The sequence below is a fragment of the Homo sapiens genome, chromosome 9 (assembly GCF_000001405.40).
Source record: "Homo sapiens chromosome 9, GRCh38.p14 Primary Assembly".
NCBI lineage: Eukaryota > Metazoa > Chordata > Mammalia > Primates > Hominidae > Homo > Homo sapiens.
The window spans coordinates 16761646-16783634 of NC_000009.12; the positions used below are offsets into that span (position 1 = coordinate 16761646).

Sequence of the window (21989 nt, forward strand, 5' to 3'; positions counted from 1 at the left end):
GAAGCTGGAAAACCAAATAATAAATGATGGATGTCTTTACCAATTTATATTTATTTATGGCTTAATTATTCAGTACTCATAATTATTCCAGGGCTCCCTTAAATAATATTTTTGATGAACAGAAATAACTTACATTTCAGACCATGACACTCAACTGTCTTAAGTTCCACCTAACTACAAAGGCCCATGTTTGAGGAATTAGTGCTCTGTAGCTGATGAAATTGAAAATGCTACCAAGTTACATGTAAATGGTGGAGCAGAGTAATCAGTCCACAAATAAGGTAACAGAAGTAAAATTTATCATGATACTCAAAGTACCAAAAATTAAAAAGAATGAACATGGAAAGTAGCAAAACTTTTTAGCCAAGAAGAACCAATAGAGTCACCAACATCAGCTTCAGAATGTTAAGATAAAGGACAGGGTAGGTTACTTTAGAATAGTGATATTTGTGAGATCAAAAGAACCCATGCTCCAGGAAGCAAACTCTTCACTCTGGAAGGTGAGCGTTGATCCTCTATTTTTTCATGGACATCATCAAGTTGGTGCCATCCAAGGCCATATGGAAGTACCTCACCTTCTGGAATTTTTTATGAGGTGCAAGGGAGGAAGTATTTGAGATGAAATGCCAGAAGGGGCTGATGTAGGAAATACAATCATCTCGTACAAAATGCCTTTGAACACTATCCAAAGACATCCAGAGATCTTTACCCACCCTACCCCCAAATGTTTTTCTCTTTCCTAGTAAAACAGTATTTCGAAAAAACAAAGAAAATGAAAGTTGCAAGTGGGAATGAATCAAAGCCCACAATCCACTTCAAAACCCCTGGATGTGCACATTACAGAAAGGGGAGATCAGTATCCAGAGAGGCACAATGAACTTCCCACTTTAGGAGACCCAACACCAACAGCAGTTCCCAGGAAATAACACGAAGTAGACTACAGCTACCCCATTTGTCTCAATTTTCTATTTTCATTTTTGTGTTCCTGGTTTTGCTATTTGTTCTCCAAAGTAACAGACAGAGACAACGAGGAACAGAGCCTGGCTTCAAGAAGAAAGAGAAAGATAACCTGACCGCTTAAGGTCCTCTGTCAACTTCTGGATTCCACAGAACATATTCTGAGATGACTGTTTAGCATTAAAAAGTGCCCCCTTTGTATACAGCACTGTAATAAAATAACAGTAATGATAACAACAATGAAGAGGCCTTGCATCTAGTGCCTTATACCTTACTTAAAGTGCTTTAATGACTTTAATGGATTGAAGCATCCCTATGAGATCAAAGGCAGATAGATACTATCATTTCCAGTGTACATAATAGAAAATCAAGGAAGAAAGGTTAAGTGACTTGACCAAGACTCACTTATCAATACAGTGATGTTCTGATCACAGTTAAGGGGCTGCTAGTCCCTGTGCTGCTTAGATGGTCACTCAGCTCAACCTGCAGTTGAACCCAAAACGGCTCTCTAGCTGAGAGGTTATGGTGATAAGGGCTTTAGAAAAAAGATCCATTTAAACCTTGTTAGCAAAGGGCTCCAGAGAATGTCAGAAGATAAATTTATTTTTATAGAGAGTAATTCCGTTCCCCTCCATTTTTGTGGTCCATACCCCCACAAAATAGTACAATGCAAAATCACCTTCAGGGTCAGGCATGGTGGCTCACACGTATATTCCCAGCATTTTTGGAGGCCAAGACAGGAGTATCGCCTGAGCCCAAGAGTTCATGACCAGCCTGGGAAACATGACAAAACCCCATCTCTACAAAAAATCAAAAACTTAGCCGGCCATAGTGACATGCACCTGTGGTCCCAGCTACATGGGAAGCTGAGGCAGAAGGATCACTTGAGCCCAGGAGGTTGAGGCTGCAGTGAGCTGTGTTCACACCACTGCACTCCAGCCTGAGTGACAGAGCAAGACCCTGTCTCAAAAAAACAAAAAAAAACCATCATCACCTTCAGATGATAGTGATTTTATATGAAGTTAGGAAACAAATAAAACATACAGCATGAAGGGGTCAAGAGGGAGAACCCATCATTCAGGTCTTCTCCAGGCTAGTGGTGAGTGGCAGAAAACTACATAGCATGTTACTTTCCAATGATAAAATCTAACCTTCCTACATCCCATTCATTCTGCTAAAAATGAACACAACACACCCCGCAAAAGAATGCTCAAGTACCATGTCACAAAGGGTGGCAACATCATCTTTAACCAACACCTAGTGTTTGAAAACTACAGAGCTATATATGCACTGGTGTCCACCAGGCCCTCCTGCTGAACACTAATCACTCCCTACCGGAAGACTATAGCAAGTGGGGGGAAAACTAATCCTAACACAAAGTCCCTTAATGTCCCTTTACTACCTATTTATTTGAGTTACCAAGTATGTGACGAGAATTAAAATAAGAGCTGGGATTGGTTCCTAATAAAAGTTAACATTGCTCTCTCTTTCCCACCCACACAAAAGTAATTCTGTTTAGGAACTTTAATTTTTTTGGCCCCAACCCACCCTTGGGGTGTGTAGCTCACTCACTGCCAGTAATTGCTTCCATACAATTCTGTGTTTTAAAACATGTTTGCATACTTATGATGATACATGACATTTATATTACATTTGAAACTCCAAACAGGCATAAAGATTGTATTTTCTGCATTAAGAAACAGAGTCTATGCACGGCATACCAAAGTAGCCACTAGAAAAAAAGTGACCTCAATTTCATTTTTATTTTCAAATCTGTCAAATTGTTGGCCTCCTGAACTTTAAAAAAATTAAGTGGAAACACAAACTCATTCATCTGGTAAGTAACCCAACCTAAAAATCTGTGACAAGAGACCATGAGTATATATCCTGTCATGTACCCAAATTAATATTACCCAAGTCAATATGCCATAAATTGTATTGGTTAATAATCATTTTACTTAAGGCAATTTCATTGGCCCTTTTACAAGACTCACCTTAAATGTAACAAAAATAGAAAACATATAATAATTATAGCTCACATTTCCTTTCTTGAAACTACTAATATAACATTTTAACCCATGTACTAGCTCATTAATGTGGAATTATACAAATTGACATAACTTTACTTATTTGTCTGTTTTTTTTTTAATAAGAAGCAATTATCTTTCTACTTTAAAAATCAAATTTTAAGATTTGGTAGCTAAATTTGATAAACTGAATTTGTTCTTCACAATAAGCTTATGGTCAATGAAAGAACTCAAAATTATCCCAAAAATAAATGAGAGGGAGGGAAAGAAGGAGGGAAGGAGGGAGGAGGGATGGGGAAGAAGGGAAGGAAGAAAAAAGAAGGAGAGAGAGAACATCTTCTGTAAGGATACGAAACCCGCTGTGGCATATACTCTGATTTTTTGGAAGGTTATATCTTCCATCTTGGCTCTTGGTTTAGGAAGAAGTAACAACTCTTTAGAGTCAGACAAGGGATGAAGCAGCTAAGGACGGACGTTTGTACTATCCACACTCTATCGTACACAAATATTTAGTATTCTAGACCCATTTGAGGGATTTTTGTCTCTAATATGGTAAACATACACAAAGAGACAGTCTTATTAGGTAAAAACTAAAGCAATTAGAGGATGTTTTCTGGGGTCACAATGTAATTTTATGAATTGAAAATGTAATCAGATTTTATTCTGGCTAAGACTCCTAAAATGCAATAATAATTTGCTTAAAATATACACATAAGATTTAAGATCTATTTTGGAGAAGCAAAAATCCACCCCTGAAATGAAGGGATAAAAGCTAAATTTTGGTTTCTAAACAGATGGAAACAATATTACTCAATATTATTAAATCTGTTATTATTAACATTTTAGTCAAAACTAGTGCCTTTTAAATAGAAATATTTGACTTTAGAAAAGCAGAAATAATTTGACTTTAGAAAAGCTGAAATATGTTAGGTAATGAAATGCACAGAGTCACAGAATCACCACCTGGTCCCCTCCAAAGCTAAATTTTAAAACCAACCCCAAACTCTTTTGGTAAAAGTAACAGGTTTTTTTCCATGGGCTATAATCAGTCATGAATGATGCCTTAATTAAAGCTGGGCAATGAAACTGTGTATTAAGCTTAGTATGTGAAGTCAAAAAACTTACTTCTTAGCACAACAGGGCACTCTCGTAATTTTTTTTTTTTTTTTTTTTCTGAGACGGAGTCTAGCTCTGTCGCCCAGGCTGGAGTGCAGTGGCACGATCTCGGCTCACTGCAAGCTCTGCCTCCCGGGTTCACGCCATTCTCCTGCCTCAGCCTCCGGAGTAGCTGGGACTACAGGCGCTCGCCACCACGCCTGGCTAATTTTTTTGTATTTTTAGTAGAGACGGGATTTCACCGTGTTAGCCAGGATGTTCTCGATCTCCTGACCTCGTGATCCGCCCGCCTTGGCCTCCCAAAGTGCTGGGATTACAGGCGTGAGCCACCGCGCCCGGCACTCATAATTTCTTAAGTGTACCCTGTTAGGTCTCCATATTAGCAGAGATGTAAACGATATCACTTTTCAACCTTAACTGTGAATTTCTTCACTTTTAGTGCTTTCTGTCTCAACTTTAATGTGCTTTTAATGTAGTTTTTCCTGTGTGATATATCATACTTATCTCTGCAACCATCCATCACTGTTTCCTTTAATTGAGGTTAATTTCTTTCAACTTGGGGGAAGGTGGGAGGGATGAGGGGAATCCTCATTCTGCAGCTCTGAACACGAAGAGCATTCGCAGCTGCTGATTTTTTAATCATGAGGACTGATTTTCAGGATGCTTAAATTCCTCAAATCTGCCCCACTGCCCTCCAATCTGGACCTAAATCAACAATCTACTGGGATGGGAACCCAGTTCCCACCCAGAACCACTTAATGAAAAATTTCTATCTAACTAAAATCCCTCCAGCTGCAATCTAAGTCCTTTTGTTTATTTTCACTCAAATGGCTAACAGCTGGTACTACCTTCCATGCAAAATAATTTCATGTGTTTGAAAACAGTGATTAACTCATACCTTGGTCTTTACTTCTCCAGACCACAAAAATTAGTTCATTTCTCAAATCTTTTAAACATCTTCTACTTTTACCTCTGGGCTACAGGTCCTGTTGGAGTTTGGAATCATCAAATGGCCAGAAATAAGTGAAATGAATTAAATGGTTTGGGAAGGTTACTTTGCTTTTCCTGAAGAGTCTAGTGTAGGGGCTTTAGAGTGGGCTCTCACAAAAAGCTGGCTGGAGGTTGCCCTCCCCACACAAAAAAACAACTCCCCTACCCAGTTTTATGGAGTAAAGATGAACCAAAGAGAGGAAAGAGGGACTTAACAAGTGTAAATACAGAGCCTAACAATTTTTAAAGTCACCATTAAGAAGAGACTGGACAAAGGGTTTTGACATGCCAATCACTATCTGGCTACCTTACATGGCATAGTCTACCTAAGCATCTCTGAACATTATATACTTCATTCCCAAAGGAGAATCTAGGAAGATCGTAAGAGTGAGGGAGAGGGATGAAATGTACAGCCAACGTCAGCCCAGAAAGCCAGATGGTAGACTCTCTCCATATTATAGACCAGAAGCAACCAGTCAATTAAATCTCAAGTATTCATCAAGTGCCCAACACTCAGTAGGCATGCAATGAGTATTAAACTGAAATACTGGCAGGCTGGGGAGAACCTTCTCAGTTTGGGCAGTCCTCAGTACTGGGATAAAACTGGCTGGGGGTCAGTGCTCAGAGAGACACAAGGAAACAATTACATACAATGTGAAAGGCCCCTAAGGGCGGTACATGCTAAGGGATATGGGAGAGAAAACTCAAATCAGGCTAGTAAATTAGGCCAGGGAGGATTTTTTTTGTAGAGCTGAGCCTTTCCGGAGATCAATGCTGAGGACAGAAATGGCTTCAGAGTAGAGTCAGCCTGTATACAGAGTTGAGGGAGATTAGAAGCCAAATGAGGCACTGGGGAAAAAGTATGAGAGGGTTGTATGCTCTGCCAAGAGGTTCATATATTATCTATAGACAGTGTAAAGCCAAAATTTGCTGTGTTTTATTTCAAATTTTTATTATTGAAGTTTTCAAACATGTATTATACAAACGTAAACAGTATAATAGCCCCTCTGTGAGTCTCACTACCTAACTTCAACAATTATCAGCACATGGTCAGTCTTGTTTCACCTCTCCCAAAATCCCCTTTAGCTCTCTCCTCCACTGGATAATTTTAAAGAAAATCCAAAACATGACATTATTTCACTAGTGAATACTTCAGTAGCTATCAAAGACTTTTAAGATCCGACATGCTCAAATCTATCAGGGCAAGAAGTGAAGAGGCAGGTTATGCAATTTTTTTTTTTTTTTTTTTAGATGAAGTTTTGTTCTTTCACCCAGGCTGGAGTGAAGTGGCACAATCTTGGCTCACTGCAACCTCCACCTCCTGGGTTCAAGCGATTCTTCTGCCTCAGTCTCTCGAGTAGCTGGGATTATAGGCACCCACCACCACGCCTGGCTAATTTTTGTATTTTTAGTAAAGTCGGGGTTTCACAATGTTGGCTAGGCTGGTCTTAAACTCCTGACCTCACGTGATCCACCCACCTCAGCGTCCCAAAGTGCTAGGATTACAGGCGTGAACCACCATGACAGGCCAGTGTATGCAATTCAGACACAGAAGTCAGTAAGAGCCACCAAGTAGTGGCAGTGAAGGTAGGGAAGTTATGAGAGATGCCAAGGAATCTTTCCTTAAATCAATCTTCCTATTCAGAAGATGGTGAGAAAACGGGAGTGTTACAAGAAACTGAGGCAAAAGGGATTTGGATAATGGCAACAGAGACATTTAACAAGAATTGGAAATAAGGAAAAAATGCAGAGTTGGGGAGATGTGTTTAGTTTGGGATATGTTCAATTTGATAGACCAAATGCACATGTTAGTAGAATAAATGAAAATGCTAGGCAAAGAGATGAAAGAGAAAGAGCTGATCCAGAGAAGAGAATGAGGGGGGTGGAATCCAACCTAACTCAGTAAGTATTTGAAAACAGACAAGCAGCTGGGATAGGTACCAGAGAGACAGAGAAGTGGTCCCTACCCTCAAAGAACTTTTAGTCTAATTGGAGAAACAGAAAAACTGCCTACATAAACAAATGCAAAATTAGGATAAGTGCTTAAAAAGACAATTTATCAAAAGCGATATATGACTTGAAATAATGGAGACTAGACTAAGATCTTATTAAATCAAGCGTTGAATTTAAACAGGGTTCAGAAACGAGAGAAAGACAGAAAGCAGAGCAGGAAACCTTAAGAAACAGACAAATGGCGCAGACAGTGGCAGGAGAATAGAAGAGGGGAAGAAGAAGCTGAGAAGTAGGTAGGGGGCGGAACTTCCAGGTTTCTGACTTCCAGAGACCTGAAATGGGGAACAATGGAAGAGGATTAGGCAACATAAAAGAAAGCAACGGGTCTTCTGTAAGAATTACAAATAGGACCCTGGAAAAGCATAGTGCCTGCTGAGGCTGCAGCTTAAACTTGAAGTCAAAGTTCCTGGGCCTTAACAACTATATATGATTCAGACATATAGCACAAAACTAAGTGCGCTTTTTGTTTAAGTGTCTTGCCATGCCTACAGGTCTGCAGGCTTCATGAGCAGGGACCACGTCTGTTCGTGTCACTGCTGTACTGGAAGTTCTAGCACAGTGCCTAGCATAAAATAGGTGTCTAATAAATAACAGAGACATTATCTCATTTACTCCTCACAACAACAGGTTAAAGAAGAAGGATCATTCTCTCCCATTTTACTGACAGGGAAAATGCCACTCAGTCAGTGAAAAGACTAACAGTGTCACCTGGTTAATAAGTGATGGGGGTCACGTGACAGGACCCCAAATCAGGGACGGAATCATTGCACAGGCATGAGAGCCAACGGAAAGGAGAGCTCAGGGAGGCCATGCAGCTTAAAGGATGTGATGTCAAAGGCCACGGACCTGGGAATGAGACCAGGCTTGGATCTAAAAATCCCAGTGCTGCCTGCCCCTTACTAGTCACACCGCTTCCTCATCTACAAAATGAGGTAAGTAGTCTCCAAGTCGCCAGCTTAATGTAAAGAGCAAATGATGATGGATGTAAAGCATCTAGCAGAATGCCTGGCACACAATAAGCACTGGATAACAGCAAGCTCTGCCACCACTTACAAGATTCATGTGGGTGGAGCTTGTCATTGAAGCTTGCAAACGTGAGAAAACCCTGATGCTGTGAAGTATAGACCAACCTGTGGCATTTTCAGGCTCTAAGTGGGTGCTCCAGGATAAGTGGAGCCCTCCGGAATTACAGAGAAATTTCCCAGGCCTTGGGAAATTTACACAAACCCTATGGGGAGGAGAAGCTGTATACCTAACCTACAGCCTACGGTTTTGCTCAATGAATTACTTGACCCAAAATGAATGTAAGGCCCAGCAGTCACCGCCAGAAACAAGGAGGTCTTTTCTTCCTAAAGCAGTTCAACAGCAGAGGAAACTAACATAGTCCCATGGCTCAATGCTAACCTGGAAGGTATGGGCCAAATCTCAGAATGCGAGGCACTGAACACCCAGAGATACAGGAGAGTTGACAGTGGATGCTCATCCACTGCCACCCTAAGATCAGGGCCAACCCTGTGTAGTCACAGATATGGGCTGATTGTGCTCTTTCTATTCAGGTAAAACAGAGATGGTGGTTATGAAAAACCTCTCCCCAAAGCTCATTCACCTTAGAAAAATAGTAAGATACTTCTTAAATAATTCACTGACAATCAGAAGGTAAATTACTGACATCGACATCTCTAAATTAACTTGGTCTTTGGCTTAAGAACTCAATTGACAGGCTTCTGAAGCCAGAAAGGAACCAAAATGACCCATATGAATACTGGAGCAACTACTTCCAAATCAGGAGTTTACCCACAATGACCATGGTAACCAATCACCCAGGGGCTGTTTCACCTGAGAAGTTCTACATCTAACAGCACACCTCTATTTTTCAAAAACCCTACCCTCAAGTCATTCAAGAATTTTTTTTTTTTTTCCAGCATGGGCAACATGGTAAAACCCCACCTCTACAAAAAATACAAAAATTAGCCAGGCATGGTAGTGCACGCCTGTAGAGCCAGCTACTCAGGGGCTGAGGTGGGAGAATCGCTTGAACCCCAGGAGGTGAAGGCTGCAGTGAGCCAAGATAGCGAGATCATGCCACTGCACTCCAGCCTCAGCGACAAAGCAAGACCCTGTCACAAAAAGAAAAGAAAAGGGCTGGGCTCGGTGGCTCACGCCTATAATCCCAGCAGTTTGGGAGTCCGAGGCAGGTGGATTACTTGAGGCCAGGCGTTCATGACCAGCCTGGCCAACATGGCGAAACCCCTCTCTACTAAAAATACAAAATTAGCTGAGCATGGTGCCGCATGCCTGTAATCCCAGCTACTCAGGAGGCTAAGGCACAAGAATCGCTTGAACCCAGGAGACAGAGGTTGCAGCGAGCCAAGATCACACTACTGCTCTCCAGCCTGGGTGACAGAGCGAGACTCTGTCCCCCAAAAAAAGAATTCTTAGCAAGGATACCTAATATGGAGTGGAATGTGCTATATCTGTCCTCAGGACAAGAGGTGGCACTGAGTCTAACAGACGTGAAAAAAGGTATCAATTTGCTGAGACTGATAGGCTTACAACCCTCTATACTTAAAACAAGGTTTTTAACACAAGCTACTTCAGAAATAATAAATCTTTCAACAGATTGTGTAGGACAATGTGTTCCCAGGTATGTGAGATCAAAACTTGGCTCTTACTGTCTGCAATCCCAGAAGTTCATTAAATACTGCTATATGGCACCCAAGGTTTGGTTTTAAGATATGTGTTCATTTTCATCCAAGAGGCAGCTACAAGTATAGGCAGAGTATGTGTCACAGTTGGCTTGCCTAGCATATCCTGCATGAATAGTCAGCAAAAAAGATAAGACGTTTATAGATTTTAAAAGCCCACCAACAGCAATACATGAACTATAATGACAAGACAAAGCCTCACTCCAAAGGACATTCAACTTGATAAAGGTGTCACTATTCACAGTTACACTCTTACCATTTATATTTTTTCTCATAAAAGAATGTATTTAACACTTTCTTCAATTTTCCCTAGAAAGGCATCTTTTGCTAAATGACAGATAAACTCCGCCAAGAAATTCAAGACTGATTTTATTACCCTCACAACCCTAATCCTCTATAAAGAGGCAACATTTCCAACATTGAAATATTTTAGCAAGCACAGTTTTAAGTTAAAGTAGTATCTTTACAGTTCATGGTGGGGGGAGGATGGCAGGGACTATAAATGGAAAAAGAATTTTTAAATCCCTGTTGCATTATCTACCAGATGTAAGTGAATAATAACTAATATGTCTGCAGCCTCAGCCTTAATCTTAAAACAAATGATAGTATTCAAATACAATATTTTACACATGCAGACTGATAACAGGTTTTTCCTTTATTTCTTGAAGAGTCTGTGAAAGACACAATACAAAGTACAATGTATTTAATGAAAGGTTTCCAGGCTGATTTCCCTACAGGTTATTTTCTTTCTTTTCTCTGGAACCCACACACGGGGTATACTGCAGGGACCAGGGGTGTATATAAAAATAAACTGTGAGCCAGTATCAGAGTTGATACCCTTCTCCTACAGGGGCAAGTGAATTATTAGATCTGTGTCATGAGTGTTTTTTTTTAATATGCCATTGTTCCCACTTGAGCACATTAAATTTTCCATATCCACTTTTAAACCAATATAACATTTTTTTCCTTGTTCATAATGTTCACGCTGTACATTAACAGGCAGAAAATCCAATAGCTTAAGTCATCATATAGTAGTTATATGTAAAGCTTAGTAGATGAAAACCTTTTGCATTTTCCCCCTCTTTGAACTGATACTATATGAAGTTGGCTAAAACCTAGGGAAAAAAAACCTCACACCTCATGGGAAACTGTACTAATTTTTTTTTGTCTTTTATGATTGATCACAAATCCATTTTGAACATTACACATTTTTTTAAAGTTTATTATAACTGGTTCAACGTCTTCAAGCCCAACAAATTGAAGGTGCTGGAATCTTTTGGTCTGGAGGATGTGTTTGCCAATTATTTTTGCACTAGTGCACATAAACAGGGAAGACTGGATCTTAGGTAGGAGTTATACATTCCCGTACAAAATAATTGTATATTCTATGAAGACTGATTCTTTTTCTGGAGAAACATACAACAACACAAGGGAAATCTTGTACTAGCAGCCTAACTGAAGTGGCAAGATACAATATTAGAAAAACAGAGCTACTTTCATTACTGTGATGCTGTGTGTCAGAATGTCTCTCCTTAATGAACCTGTTTGCAATAAGACTCCGGGTGCAAAGAGGCTATTTAGAGAGACTACTGTGTCTATAGTGAGTCCTTCAAATATCTTCCCACTATTAGACATGCCGCATTGACCAATTCTGTCCTGATTGCTGTTCTTTTTACTATCAAGGGACACTCTTGCCCAGACAGACGGATGGATCAGACACTGCAGTTCATAAAATGTTTGCACTGTACACACACATGCACTATGGTACAAGCTACTGAACTCCAGATCATACAGTGAGTTGAATGTGGCAGTGTCATATGAAGGCTTATGACTTTGCAATATCAATGAAAGGATTTAGGTTAAACTTTGCTCATCCTGCCTGCCTGTCACTCTCAACAAAAAGCCTTTTTTCCCCTCTCTCTTTCAGTGTATGTCCATTCCCACTGCTTACATGGAACACTTCAGGCAAATCTTTTCAGCGTCACAAGGTTTTCTCGTTCTGTTGAGATTTTTCTCCTAATTGCTGACAAGAAAAGAGGACTACACGTCATGCAATCAGAAAAAAAAAAAAAAAAGGTGAGGGACAGTGCAATAATAATAATTTTAAAATGGTCCAAAAGACTTCCTAAAAAGATGTGAAATTCCAACTCACATTGACAGCCGCTGAGATAAAGGGGCTTGTCGCTACAGTAAATGAAGCATCAGCAACCTTTTTACCAAGTCTTAACATGAGAGCCCAAGGTGCTTGGAGGAAACTTTCCGTTCATCTTACACTGTGTATGGTCTTATCAGCTGCTGGGTGTTGCTGTAGCCTCACCTTTCATACACCTACATGCCAAATGACCTCTACAAAAGCCTTTTTCCCTTTGCGCATTTTCTAACAGTACGTCCTTTCTATTTGAATACAAATAATGTGCTTGCCAACAAGTTGCAGATGGTATTATCCCACGCCCCCAATCTCAGCTGTCATATAGAAAAAACTTCAAGCCCAAAGGTCCAAATTGACAGTATGTTTTTTTGTTTTGTTTTGTTTTGTTTTGTTTTTAAAGACACAGTCTCACTCTATTGCCCAGGCTGGAGTACAGCGTCACAATCTCAGATCACTGCAACCTTTGTCTCCCAGGCTCAAGGGAGTCTCATGCCTTATCCTCCCAAGTAGGTGAGATTACAGGTACCCGCCACCACACCCAGCTAATTTTTTTATTTTTAGTAGAGACAGGGTTTCACCATATTGGCCAGGCTGGTCTCGAACGCCTGACCTCGAGTGATCGGCCCCACCTCAGCCTCCCAAAGTGCTGGGATTACAGTCGTGAGCCACCGTGTCCGGCCTAAATTGCCAGTATACTAATAAGTACAACTACTATTCGTTACATCTGATAAGGAACCAGAACTGCACATCGAACTGAATCTGGATCTGATGAACCAAATGCATCCAATGACAGTTTCGATTCCATTTAAAAATTTCTGTAACCACCTCCTTTTTTCTGGGCTCAACCTTACATTCTATCAGGCCTGACATACAGACCATAGCTTGTGCTGTAGCTCAGGCTTCGAAAGACATTTGGAATATCTATGATTTCAATGTTTATTTCCTCATCCAACTTTTAAATCTCCATTGTGATAAAACTTACAAATAAGGCTTTTATTAAATTACTCTGAACATTTACTAAAAACATACAAGCATTTCTTAATCAAGATATTTGCAGTATTGTAAGCCTGTTTAAACATACTGAATATCTGACTACAGATTTAGGAGTTAAAGGGTCCAGAGAGATCTGGTAGCAGTCGCCATTTTTCTACAAAAAAACTAAGGCTACAAAATATTTAAGGAAACCTGTTTTGGGCTGAACAACCCAGGACCCTGAGTGCTTTAAGCCTCTGGATGCCTTATCTGCTGGCCTATCCCACAAAAGACTGTATATCTGTTATCCAGTGACCCTCTTGTATTTTGCCAATGAAGCGTTTTTTATTTGTTTTTGCTTTTACTAAAATATGCTCAGTTATATCTGTCATGTACAACAGTAAAGAGAAAAAATACATGTAATTACAAGGAATACAGATAATGCAAACATTATTTCTAGGTTCCTTTAGAACAGTTGTTTTCAAAGTAGTGTCTCACAAGTAGCAGCAACAGCATCATCCAGGAACTTGCCAGGAATGCAAATTATCAGACCCTGACCACTACAGAATCAAAAGACCTGGGGGTAGGGGCCCAGCAATCTGTGATTACACAAGACAAGCAAGTGATACTGATGCATGCTCAAGTTTAATCGCTTTTTGAGATTCATGGCATCTTTTGAGATTTATATTTTATTTATAAGTAAATGAAGAATGTCCCCTATAAACTCTAATTTGGGATAAGAAGAGCAATATACAGAAGTAGCTGCTGGCTCCACAGTGAAGGAGTCCATACCACTGTTTCCTTAAACACTGATTTCGTTATTAAAAAAAAAAAAACTCCCATGATTTCTTCATGTTGTATGTGTGCTAGAATTAAAACTAAAAATGATTTTTCAGAAACACTACAGTCCCTGGTCAAATGTGTGAGGTAACCAGGGTATCAGTTTCATTCAGTGACAGCCCTTACTCTTCAAGAGCAATAGCTTCTGAGCAGAGGACTTAATACTCATCAAGAGTATCTGCTCAAGGAATGGAAAGACCTTGATCCCAGTGGGCCTGAACTTTCAGTTCCTCTACTTCCAGCCTGGTCTGCTGGTCCACGCTTTGGTCTTCTAGGATTTCTTCAATGGATACTTGCTGGAGGGGTGTGTCATTCTCATTTTCCAAGTCCAAATTGATCAATACTTCTTAAGTCTATTAAGTGTCCTTCCATCTTGAAGCAGGACCAAGTATTTTTTGTCAATGTCCTCAATGAGGCTGGTGGTGCCGGGCCTCCACAAACTGTAGTCCTTGCAACACGAAGGCTGCAGAGGAGCTCAGCAATCAGTTCATTTTGAACTGAAATAATCCTGCAATGTACAGCGGCGGTGGGCCACTGTGTCCAAAACCAAAACCTACCTGACCAACGCAGCTGCTGCCTCAGCAGGACTGAGACCAGAAGTGGAACCCCGACCAGGTCAGGCACTTCTACGCTGACTTTCAGCCACGGGGACCTGCAGGAAACTCCTCCGTATTACCTACCCCTCAAGTTTATAACTATGGCTTTAGAATACACACCATGATTTACTTATTCATATTTTTTTAAGAGGGAGTTTCGCTCTTGTCGCCCAGGCTGGAGTGCAATGGAACCATCTCGGGCTCACTGCAACCTTCGCCTCCTGGGTTCAAGCGATTCTCCTCTCTCAGTCTCCCAAGTAGCTGGGATTACAGGAGCCCACCACCACGCCCTGCTATTTTTGTATTTTTAGTAGAGACGGGGTTTCACCATGTTGCCCAGGCTGGTCTCGAACCTCTGAGCTCAGGCAAGCTGCCCACCTCAGCCTCCAAAAGTGCTAGGATTACAGGGGTGACCCACAGCGCCCAGCCACCTTGATTTATTTAAATTCAGATTAAAATTATTTAAAATGGCTAGTACTCCTTAAGGATATAATCAACTAGCTGTAGGCAAGAAACAGACACAAAGGAAAGAAAAACAGTCCTGGATTTAAAATAACTTCAGAAATATCCCAATTTAGAGCAACAGCCAATTAATTGTAAAGACGTAATTTTAATTGTAATGCATAATACAAACCACTCCACTAATTCTGTTATGTGAAAGAAAGCAAGCACTCTCTTTCAGAATAATTTAAAAAATTAAACACTTAAGTAATTCCAAATTTGAGGTGATATGATGGGCAACACGAAGGAAACAAATTAATGAAGTTAATAATAAGGGTCAATTGAAAGAAACGAATATGAAGGAATCATTCTTTAAAAGATAGGACAGTGGCAGCCAGGCGTGGTGGCTCACATCTGTAATCCCAGCACTTTGGGAGTCCAAGGTGGGCGGATCACCTGAGGTCAGGAGTTCGAGACCAGCCTGGTCAACATGGCAAAACCCCATCTCTACTAAAAAAACAAAAATTAGCTGGGCATGGTGGCACACGCCTGTAATCCCAGCTACTCAGTAGGTTGAGGCAAGAGAATCACTTGAACCTAGGAGGCGGAGGTTGCAGTGAGCCGAGATGGCGCCACTACACTCCAGCCTGGGCGACAGAGTGAGACTCCTGTCTCAAAAAAAATAATTAATTAATAAATTAAAAAATAAAAGTAAATAAATAAATAAATAAACGATAGGACAGTGGTTTGGGGCAGACAAAGGCAAGAAGAGTCTTAGCCAAGGTAAATGGATGTGGGGGTATGAACACATTAGAAAACTAGTACCAGATGAAGAGCAAAAAGGAGAACAGGGACATTCTGCCACATGAGTTGTAATATTCAAAAGACCTGTGAAAAACATGAGGAGCAAATTTGAATTGAATTTATCATCAAACCTCAGGGAAATTATTTCATAAGAACTGTTAGGGGCTGGACACGGTGGCTCACGCCTGTAATCCCAGCACTTTAGGAGGCCGAGGCAGGCAGATCACGAGGTCAGGAGATCGAGACCATCCTGGCTTACACAGTGAAACCCCGTCTCCACTAAAAATACAAAAAAATTAACCAGGCATGGTGGCGGGTGCCTGTAGTCCCAGCTACTCGGGAGGCTGAGGCAAGAGAATGACGTGAACCCGGGAGGCGGAGCTTGCAGTGAGCGGAGATTGCACCACTGCATTCCAGCCTTGGCGACAGGGCAAGACTCCATCTCAAAAAAAAAAAAAAAAAGAACTGTTAGGATGTAAAAAGCATGTCAGAATCACGCATGACTGTAAAATCAAAGCAAGCACTGTTTATAATAACAAAAAATTGGATACAACCTAAATGTCCTCCCAAAGAGAAGTGGTGACAATAAGTATGGTACTCCCATACAATGGAATTCTCTGAGACCGGAAAAAAATTATATACATTCCATGTTACTAAACACTGAAAATATCTATACTGGCAATGAGAAAACAGCAATTAAACAAAACACATACTATTATCTAACTTCTACTTCCAAAGCCACACTAACATATATGTATGTAGATGTGTATAGAATAAAGACTAGAAAAGTATAAACTAGAATGGCCACAGTAGGTGACTAAATGGCAAATGAATTTTATTTTCTCCTCCCCTTTTCTCTATTTTCTGCATTTTCCTATTTTATAAATGAAAAACAATGACTCTCATAATGAGGAAACTGTAAAGATACATACACACAAATACTACAATTACTCTCATAATGAGGATATTGTAAAGATACATACACACAAATACTTTCTTTTTAAGGCAATAAATGATGTTCTCTATTGGCAGAGACCCAAAGGAGTGCTGCTGCCTGGCAGAGGTATTAGAGCAGTGACAAAATTCCAGAGTCTTCATGAAAACAGGATTCTGAAACAAAGACACAAACTTTGGAAGAAAAAACCCCCAAACTACCAACAATGATCATAATATATATAAATCCTTCTTTTCAGCCAAAAAAACATGATGACCTAAGCCACTTCATTCAAAACAATAATCCAAAAAAGAAACAGAAAGGACAATCTATTAAGCACATATTATGTGTCAGATACTTTCACATTATTTCTCTTTCACAACAACTTGCAAGGTAGCATCTGTATTTTGCAGATAAAAGGCTCAAAAGGAACAAGCACACTTCTAGTGCACATTGGACCGCAGAGCCTATACCTAGTTTACCAGACTTCCAAGCCTGAGCTCTTTCCACTGCACAAGGCTTCAAACGAGATCCTTAATGCATAGTTCTCAAAGTGGTATAAGCTGAAATCTCAGATGCCCAAACAACTTCAGAAAGGACTCCATTATCCTCTGTTAAATACAAAACAAGTATTAAAGAATAGGAGGGCAGAGGAAGGGGAAAGGCAGCAAGGGTCTGATGTGAAGGCAGCCAAGCAGGTTATGTTAAAGACTTCTGACCCCTAACATAAAACGATATTTTTAGAAATGCTCCTTTTGCCTTCTTTTGGGGATGGCAGTGGTAATGCAATGTTCAAACAAAAGATGTTAATTAGATGTCAGACTCCTGCCTGTAATCCCAGTACTTTGGGAGGCCAAGGATGGTTGATTGCTTGCGGTCAGGAGTTCAAGACCAACCTAGGTTACTCCATCTCTACAAAAATTGTAAAAAAAAAAAAAAAAAAAAGAAAAGAAAAGAAAAAAAAACCAGCCAAGCATGGTGGCGTGCACCTGTAATTCCAGCTACTAAGGAGGCTGAGGTAGGAGGACAGCTTGAGCCCAGAAGGTGGAGGCTGCAGTGAGCCAGTATCACACTACTGCACTCCAGCCTGCGTGACAGAGAGACCCTCTCTCAAAAAAAAAAAAAAAAAAGATTTTGATTAGATAGTTACCAGAGGTAAGTAGAAGAAAGCAGATTTAAGAAGTATCCAAGAGGTAAAACTGACAAGATCCTACTGATTGATGTGCTATTATCTTAAACCCAACAACATATAAGCTTAATTCTAAACATACTTATATATACCTTAACGACTAACAAGCTCTGAAGGCATTTCCAATTTAGGATATCACAACTTCAGTTCTACCTTCATTTTTGCCTTTATAAGGCACAACCACCCAAGCTGATTTACATATTTAAAAGTATTTGATTGACCAACTGATGGATAAATAAAACTGTGACCTATCCATACAATGAAATATTAAGAGGCAAAGAAAATAATAAAATATTGATATATGGCACAACATGGATGAACCTTGAAAATATAAAAAGAAGCCAGTTACAAAGTACCACATATAGTATAATTCCATTTGTATGAAATGTCCAGAAGAGGCAATCCATAGAGAAAAAGTAGATTATGGTGGCTGCCTATGGCTGGAGGAATGGCAGTGTTGTGGGGGGGCCAGGAAGGTGAAAGCTAAAGGGTACGGGTTTCTTTTCTGAGGTAATAAAAACGGTTTAAAATTGAATGTAGTGATAGTTAGACAATATACTAAAAACTACTGAAACTGGCCGGGCGTGGTGGCTCACGCCTGTGATCCCAGCACTTTGGGAGGCCGAGGCGGGCGGATCACAAGGTCAGCAGATCGAGACCATCCTGGCTAACATGGTGAAACCCCATCTCTACTAAAAATACAAAAAATTAGCCGGGCGCGGTGGCGGGTGCCTGTAGTCCCAGCTACTAGGGAGGCTGAGGTAGGAGAATGGCGCGAACCTGGGAGGCGGAGCTTGCAGTGAGCCGAGATCGCGCCACTGCACTCCAGCCTGGGTGACAGAGCAAGACTTCGTTTCAAAAAAAAAAAAAAAAAAAAACAAAAAAAAACTACTGAAACTAATAAAAACATCTTGGCTGGGCTCGGTGGCTCACGCCTGTAATCCCAGCACTGTGGGAGGCCGAGGCTGGCAGATCATGAGGTCAGGAGCTCAAGACCATCCTGGCCAACATGGGGAAACCCCGTCTCTACTAAAAATACAAAAATTATCTGGGCGTAGTGGCGGGCGCCTGTAGTCCCAGCTACTCGGGAGACTGAGGCAAGGGAATCGCCTGAACCCAGGAGGCGGAGGCTGCAGTGAGCCGAGATCACACCACTACACTCCAGCCTGGCGACAGGGCAAGACTCCGCCTTAAAAAAAAAAAATCTTAAGTAGGTGAATTGTATATTATGGGAATTACATTTCAATAAAGCTTTTTAAAAAGTATTGGGCTTTTTTAACACTTATTGGTTATCTATGATGTACTGGACAGTAAGGCAAACACAGGATAAACAGATGAAAACAACAGGACTTCAGCCCCAGAAGAGCAAAAAATCTGCAAAAAATAAAACCCCTGTAAACCAAGTGGCTTCTAGTATTAAGATAGAATACCTTGCTATGTGGGAAACATCCTTGACATCTTTAAGAAAAAAAATGTTTACTTTACCTAAGAAACAAGTCCAGTTTTCTTTTAATTCTTAACTCTACAGAGGTATTTATTTAATAACAGATCTATTCCAATTCACTAACCAAAAAGAGTACTTAATCATGCACTTAAAGAAAATTCTCTATAAGATATAATTCCTTTGTTTGAAAAAAAAAGAGAGAGAGAAGCTATCTCCAGATAAAACGCTTTATCCAGGGACTTCTTTTTTTTAGAGTGGGCACTCTAAAAAAATGGGATCTAATTGTTTCATGTTTTTATTAATGCAAAACGACATTACCCTTCAGTTTTGTGTCCAGCCACGTAACATTTTGTTCAGCTGATACGCTTTTACTTGAACAGATACAAAAAAGATTCATTTTCAAATTTGCACCAAAGGTCTGAAGATCAGGGCTGGACTGATATTGGAGGCAGGTGGCAGACAATGCATACCTACAAAAAAAAGCAGGGGCACAGAAGAAAGGCTATAACTTTATTATTATTATTATGTATATTTTTTTAAGATGGAGTCTCGCTCTGTTGCCCAGGCTGGAGTGCAGTGGCGCAATCGTGGCTCACTGCAACCTCCACCTACCAGGTTCAAGCAATTCTCCTGCCTCAGCCACCCGAGCAGCTGGGACTACAGGCGCAAGCCGCCAGGCACAGCTAGTTTTTTGTATTTTAGTAGAGACGGGGTTTCGTTGTGTTGCCCATGCTGGTCGCGAACTCCTAAGCTCAGGCAATCTGCCCGCCCTGGCCTCCCAAAGTGCTGAAAGGAAATATGAAAGATTTAATTAAATGTTTCAATATAAACACATTCGTGGCAGAATTTTTAAAACAACAAGAAGTTAGAAACAATCTACTTTTCCAATACAAGTATATTGGAAAATATATAATAAATGATGTATAAATGAATAATAGTTGATGATAGAATATTATACAGCCATTAAAATTGATATTTTACAAATACTTCCAATGATATGAACACAATGTGCTTTTTATGTTAACTGTAAAATATCAGTTACAAAATAGCATATTTGATATCATCTCAATTTTATAAAACCAAAGATGGAAAGGAGAAAACTGGTAAGGATATTTACAAAATGACAAGTAAGATTATCTATATAATATTATTATGACTTTCAATTTTTAATAATTTTGTATAGGCTGGGCGTGGTGGCTCATGCCTGTAATCTCAACACTTTGGGAGGCCGAGGGGGGCGGATCACGAGCTCAGGATATCGAGACCAGCCTGGCCAACATGAGGAAACCCCATCTCTACTAAAAATACAAAAATTATCTGGACGTGGTGGCGTGCACCTGTAGTCCCAGCTACTCGGGAGGCTGAGGCAGAAGAATTGCTGGGACCCAGGAGGCAGAGGTTTCAGTCAGCCGAGATTGTGCCACTGCACTCCAGCCTGGTGACAGAGCAAGACTCTGTCTCAAAAAAATAATAATAATGATAATAATAATAATAATTTTGTATAATTAAATTTTTTTAGAATAAATGAGTATTTCTATCGGGGTAAGAAATCAATAAGTTTGTAGTCATTTTTCATCTCCTCATCAAGTAAAATGCAGAGGAAAATTTTTCTGAGCCAAAATGAGAGTTCTAGTTATTTGAGTTCTAGTTGCCTAAAGTTTTTACATACTAGTCTAATGTGCTGACTTCTCTATTTTCTCTGGACTTTTACCAATGTTGTTCTTTGTACCAGAAGCATTTGTAGCAACCCTTCCTAGACCCCTTCCACTGGCTGACTCTGAAGAATAAAGAGGCAGAGGTGTCACTTCCTCCAGGAAGACTTTGGGCACCACTCACATATGTGCCGATGGAACTCTGGGCTTAGGGGTTCCACACCATTTATCATAGTACGTGGTACTGTGGTTGCCTGGTTTCATATTCTCCTCCCCTACCAGACTCTAAGATACTCTGAAGGCCAGAAACGTCTACCTTTTGTTCACTACTATATCCACTATCATTCCTAGCACATAGTATGAACATGGAATATTCATTTTTGGAAAAAGTGAATGTATTAATGAATGAGTGAGTAAGTGAATAGTCTACCTTAGAAGCTAGGCATGCCTAATTCTTAGAAGCATTTACTCTGAAGTAAAGCAGGGGTGTTTCATATAATGAAAACATCGGAGTGTAATCACTCAGTACTTTAAGCAAAAGACAGGTCTTAATGCTGCTTGTGTTTTCAGAGTTCAAAACTCTGAAAGCATGAAGCTAGTAGAAAGTTAAATATATCCAATAACAGGGTATTAAATATGTTAATGTCTTAAATACACAATTTGCAAATAAACAGAAGTAAGTTGAAATTAAGGGAGACAATTAAAATAGATTATACCACATTTCCTGAACTTGGTTCCCAAAGATCAGATTCAGATGTTGCTTTTATTCATAAGCTTTGAAAAAGTAAATAAAACATTCTGCACACTGCTCACCATAAATCTTAACTCACCATTCAAATTTAATCTAAACACAAACATAAACCTAAAACCTCCTCCAGTCCCACAAATACTCAGACAACCAAAATCTGATTTCCAGGACAAAAATGTTACTCTACAAGTACAATATTTATGCTGAAGAGATAAATTATGCAAATCACAATGGTTTATGCTTATGTTATAGCTACGCTTACGCTTCTGCATACGACAAGTTTCAAGAGTCTACAAATTTACATAAAGCTCAGGTTGTCTAATGATTAAACAATTTTACTATTTAGGACAGTTTTAATATTGATTTAGCTTTAAGATATATTTGGGAACAGCTTCAAATGATATGCACTGCT

At 40.0% G+C, this 21989-nt stretch overlaps 1 protein-coding gene and 1 pseudogene across 28 annotated transcripts in view, besides 3 other annotated features; both read right to left on the reverse strand.

Moving 5' to 3' along the window:
- The window catches only part of BNC2 (basonuclin zinc finger protein 2), a 461168-nt gene that overhangs the window by 352143 nt on the left and 87036 nt on the right, over positions 1 to 21989 (reverse strand). The window lies entirely within an intron of this gene.
- Positions 7142 to 7887: an enhancer, noted in NCBI's record as "OCT4-NANOG-H3K27ac-H3K4me1 hESC enhancer chr9:16768785-16769530 (GRCh37/hg19 assembly coordinates)". NCBI's record gives its function as "activates a minimal SCP1, AML or CMV promoter by ChIP-STARR-seq in primed H9 embryonic stem cells {active_cell/tissue: H9 hESC(primed)}" and the evidence as "EXISTENCE:reporter gene assay evidence [ECO:0000049][PMID:30033119]".
- Positions 7142 to 8040: a biological region, named in NCBI's record as "Sharpr-MPRA regulatory region 7975".
- Positions 7746 to 8040: an enhancer, noted in NCBI's record as "tiled region #7975; HepG2 Activating non-DNase unmatched - State 24:Quies". NCBI's record gives its function as "activates a minimal TATA promoter and a strong SV40 promoter by Sharpr-MPRA in HepG2 cells {active_cell/tissue: HepG2}" and the evidence as "EXISTENCE:reporter gene assay evidence [ECO:0000049][PMID:27701403]".
- On the reverse strand, positions 13603 to 14098 carry LSM1P1 (LSM1 homolog, mRNA degradation associated pseudogene 1; annotated as a pseudogene).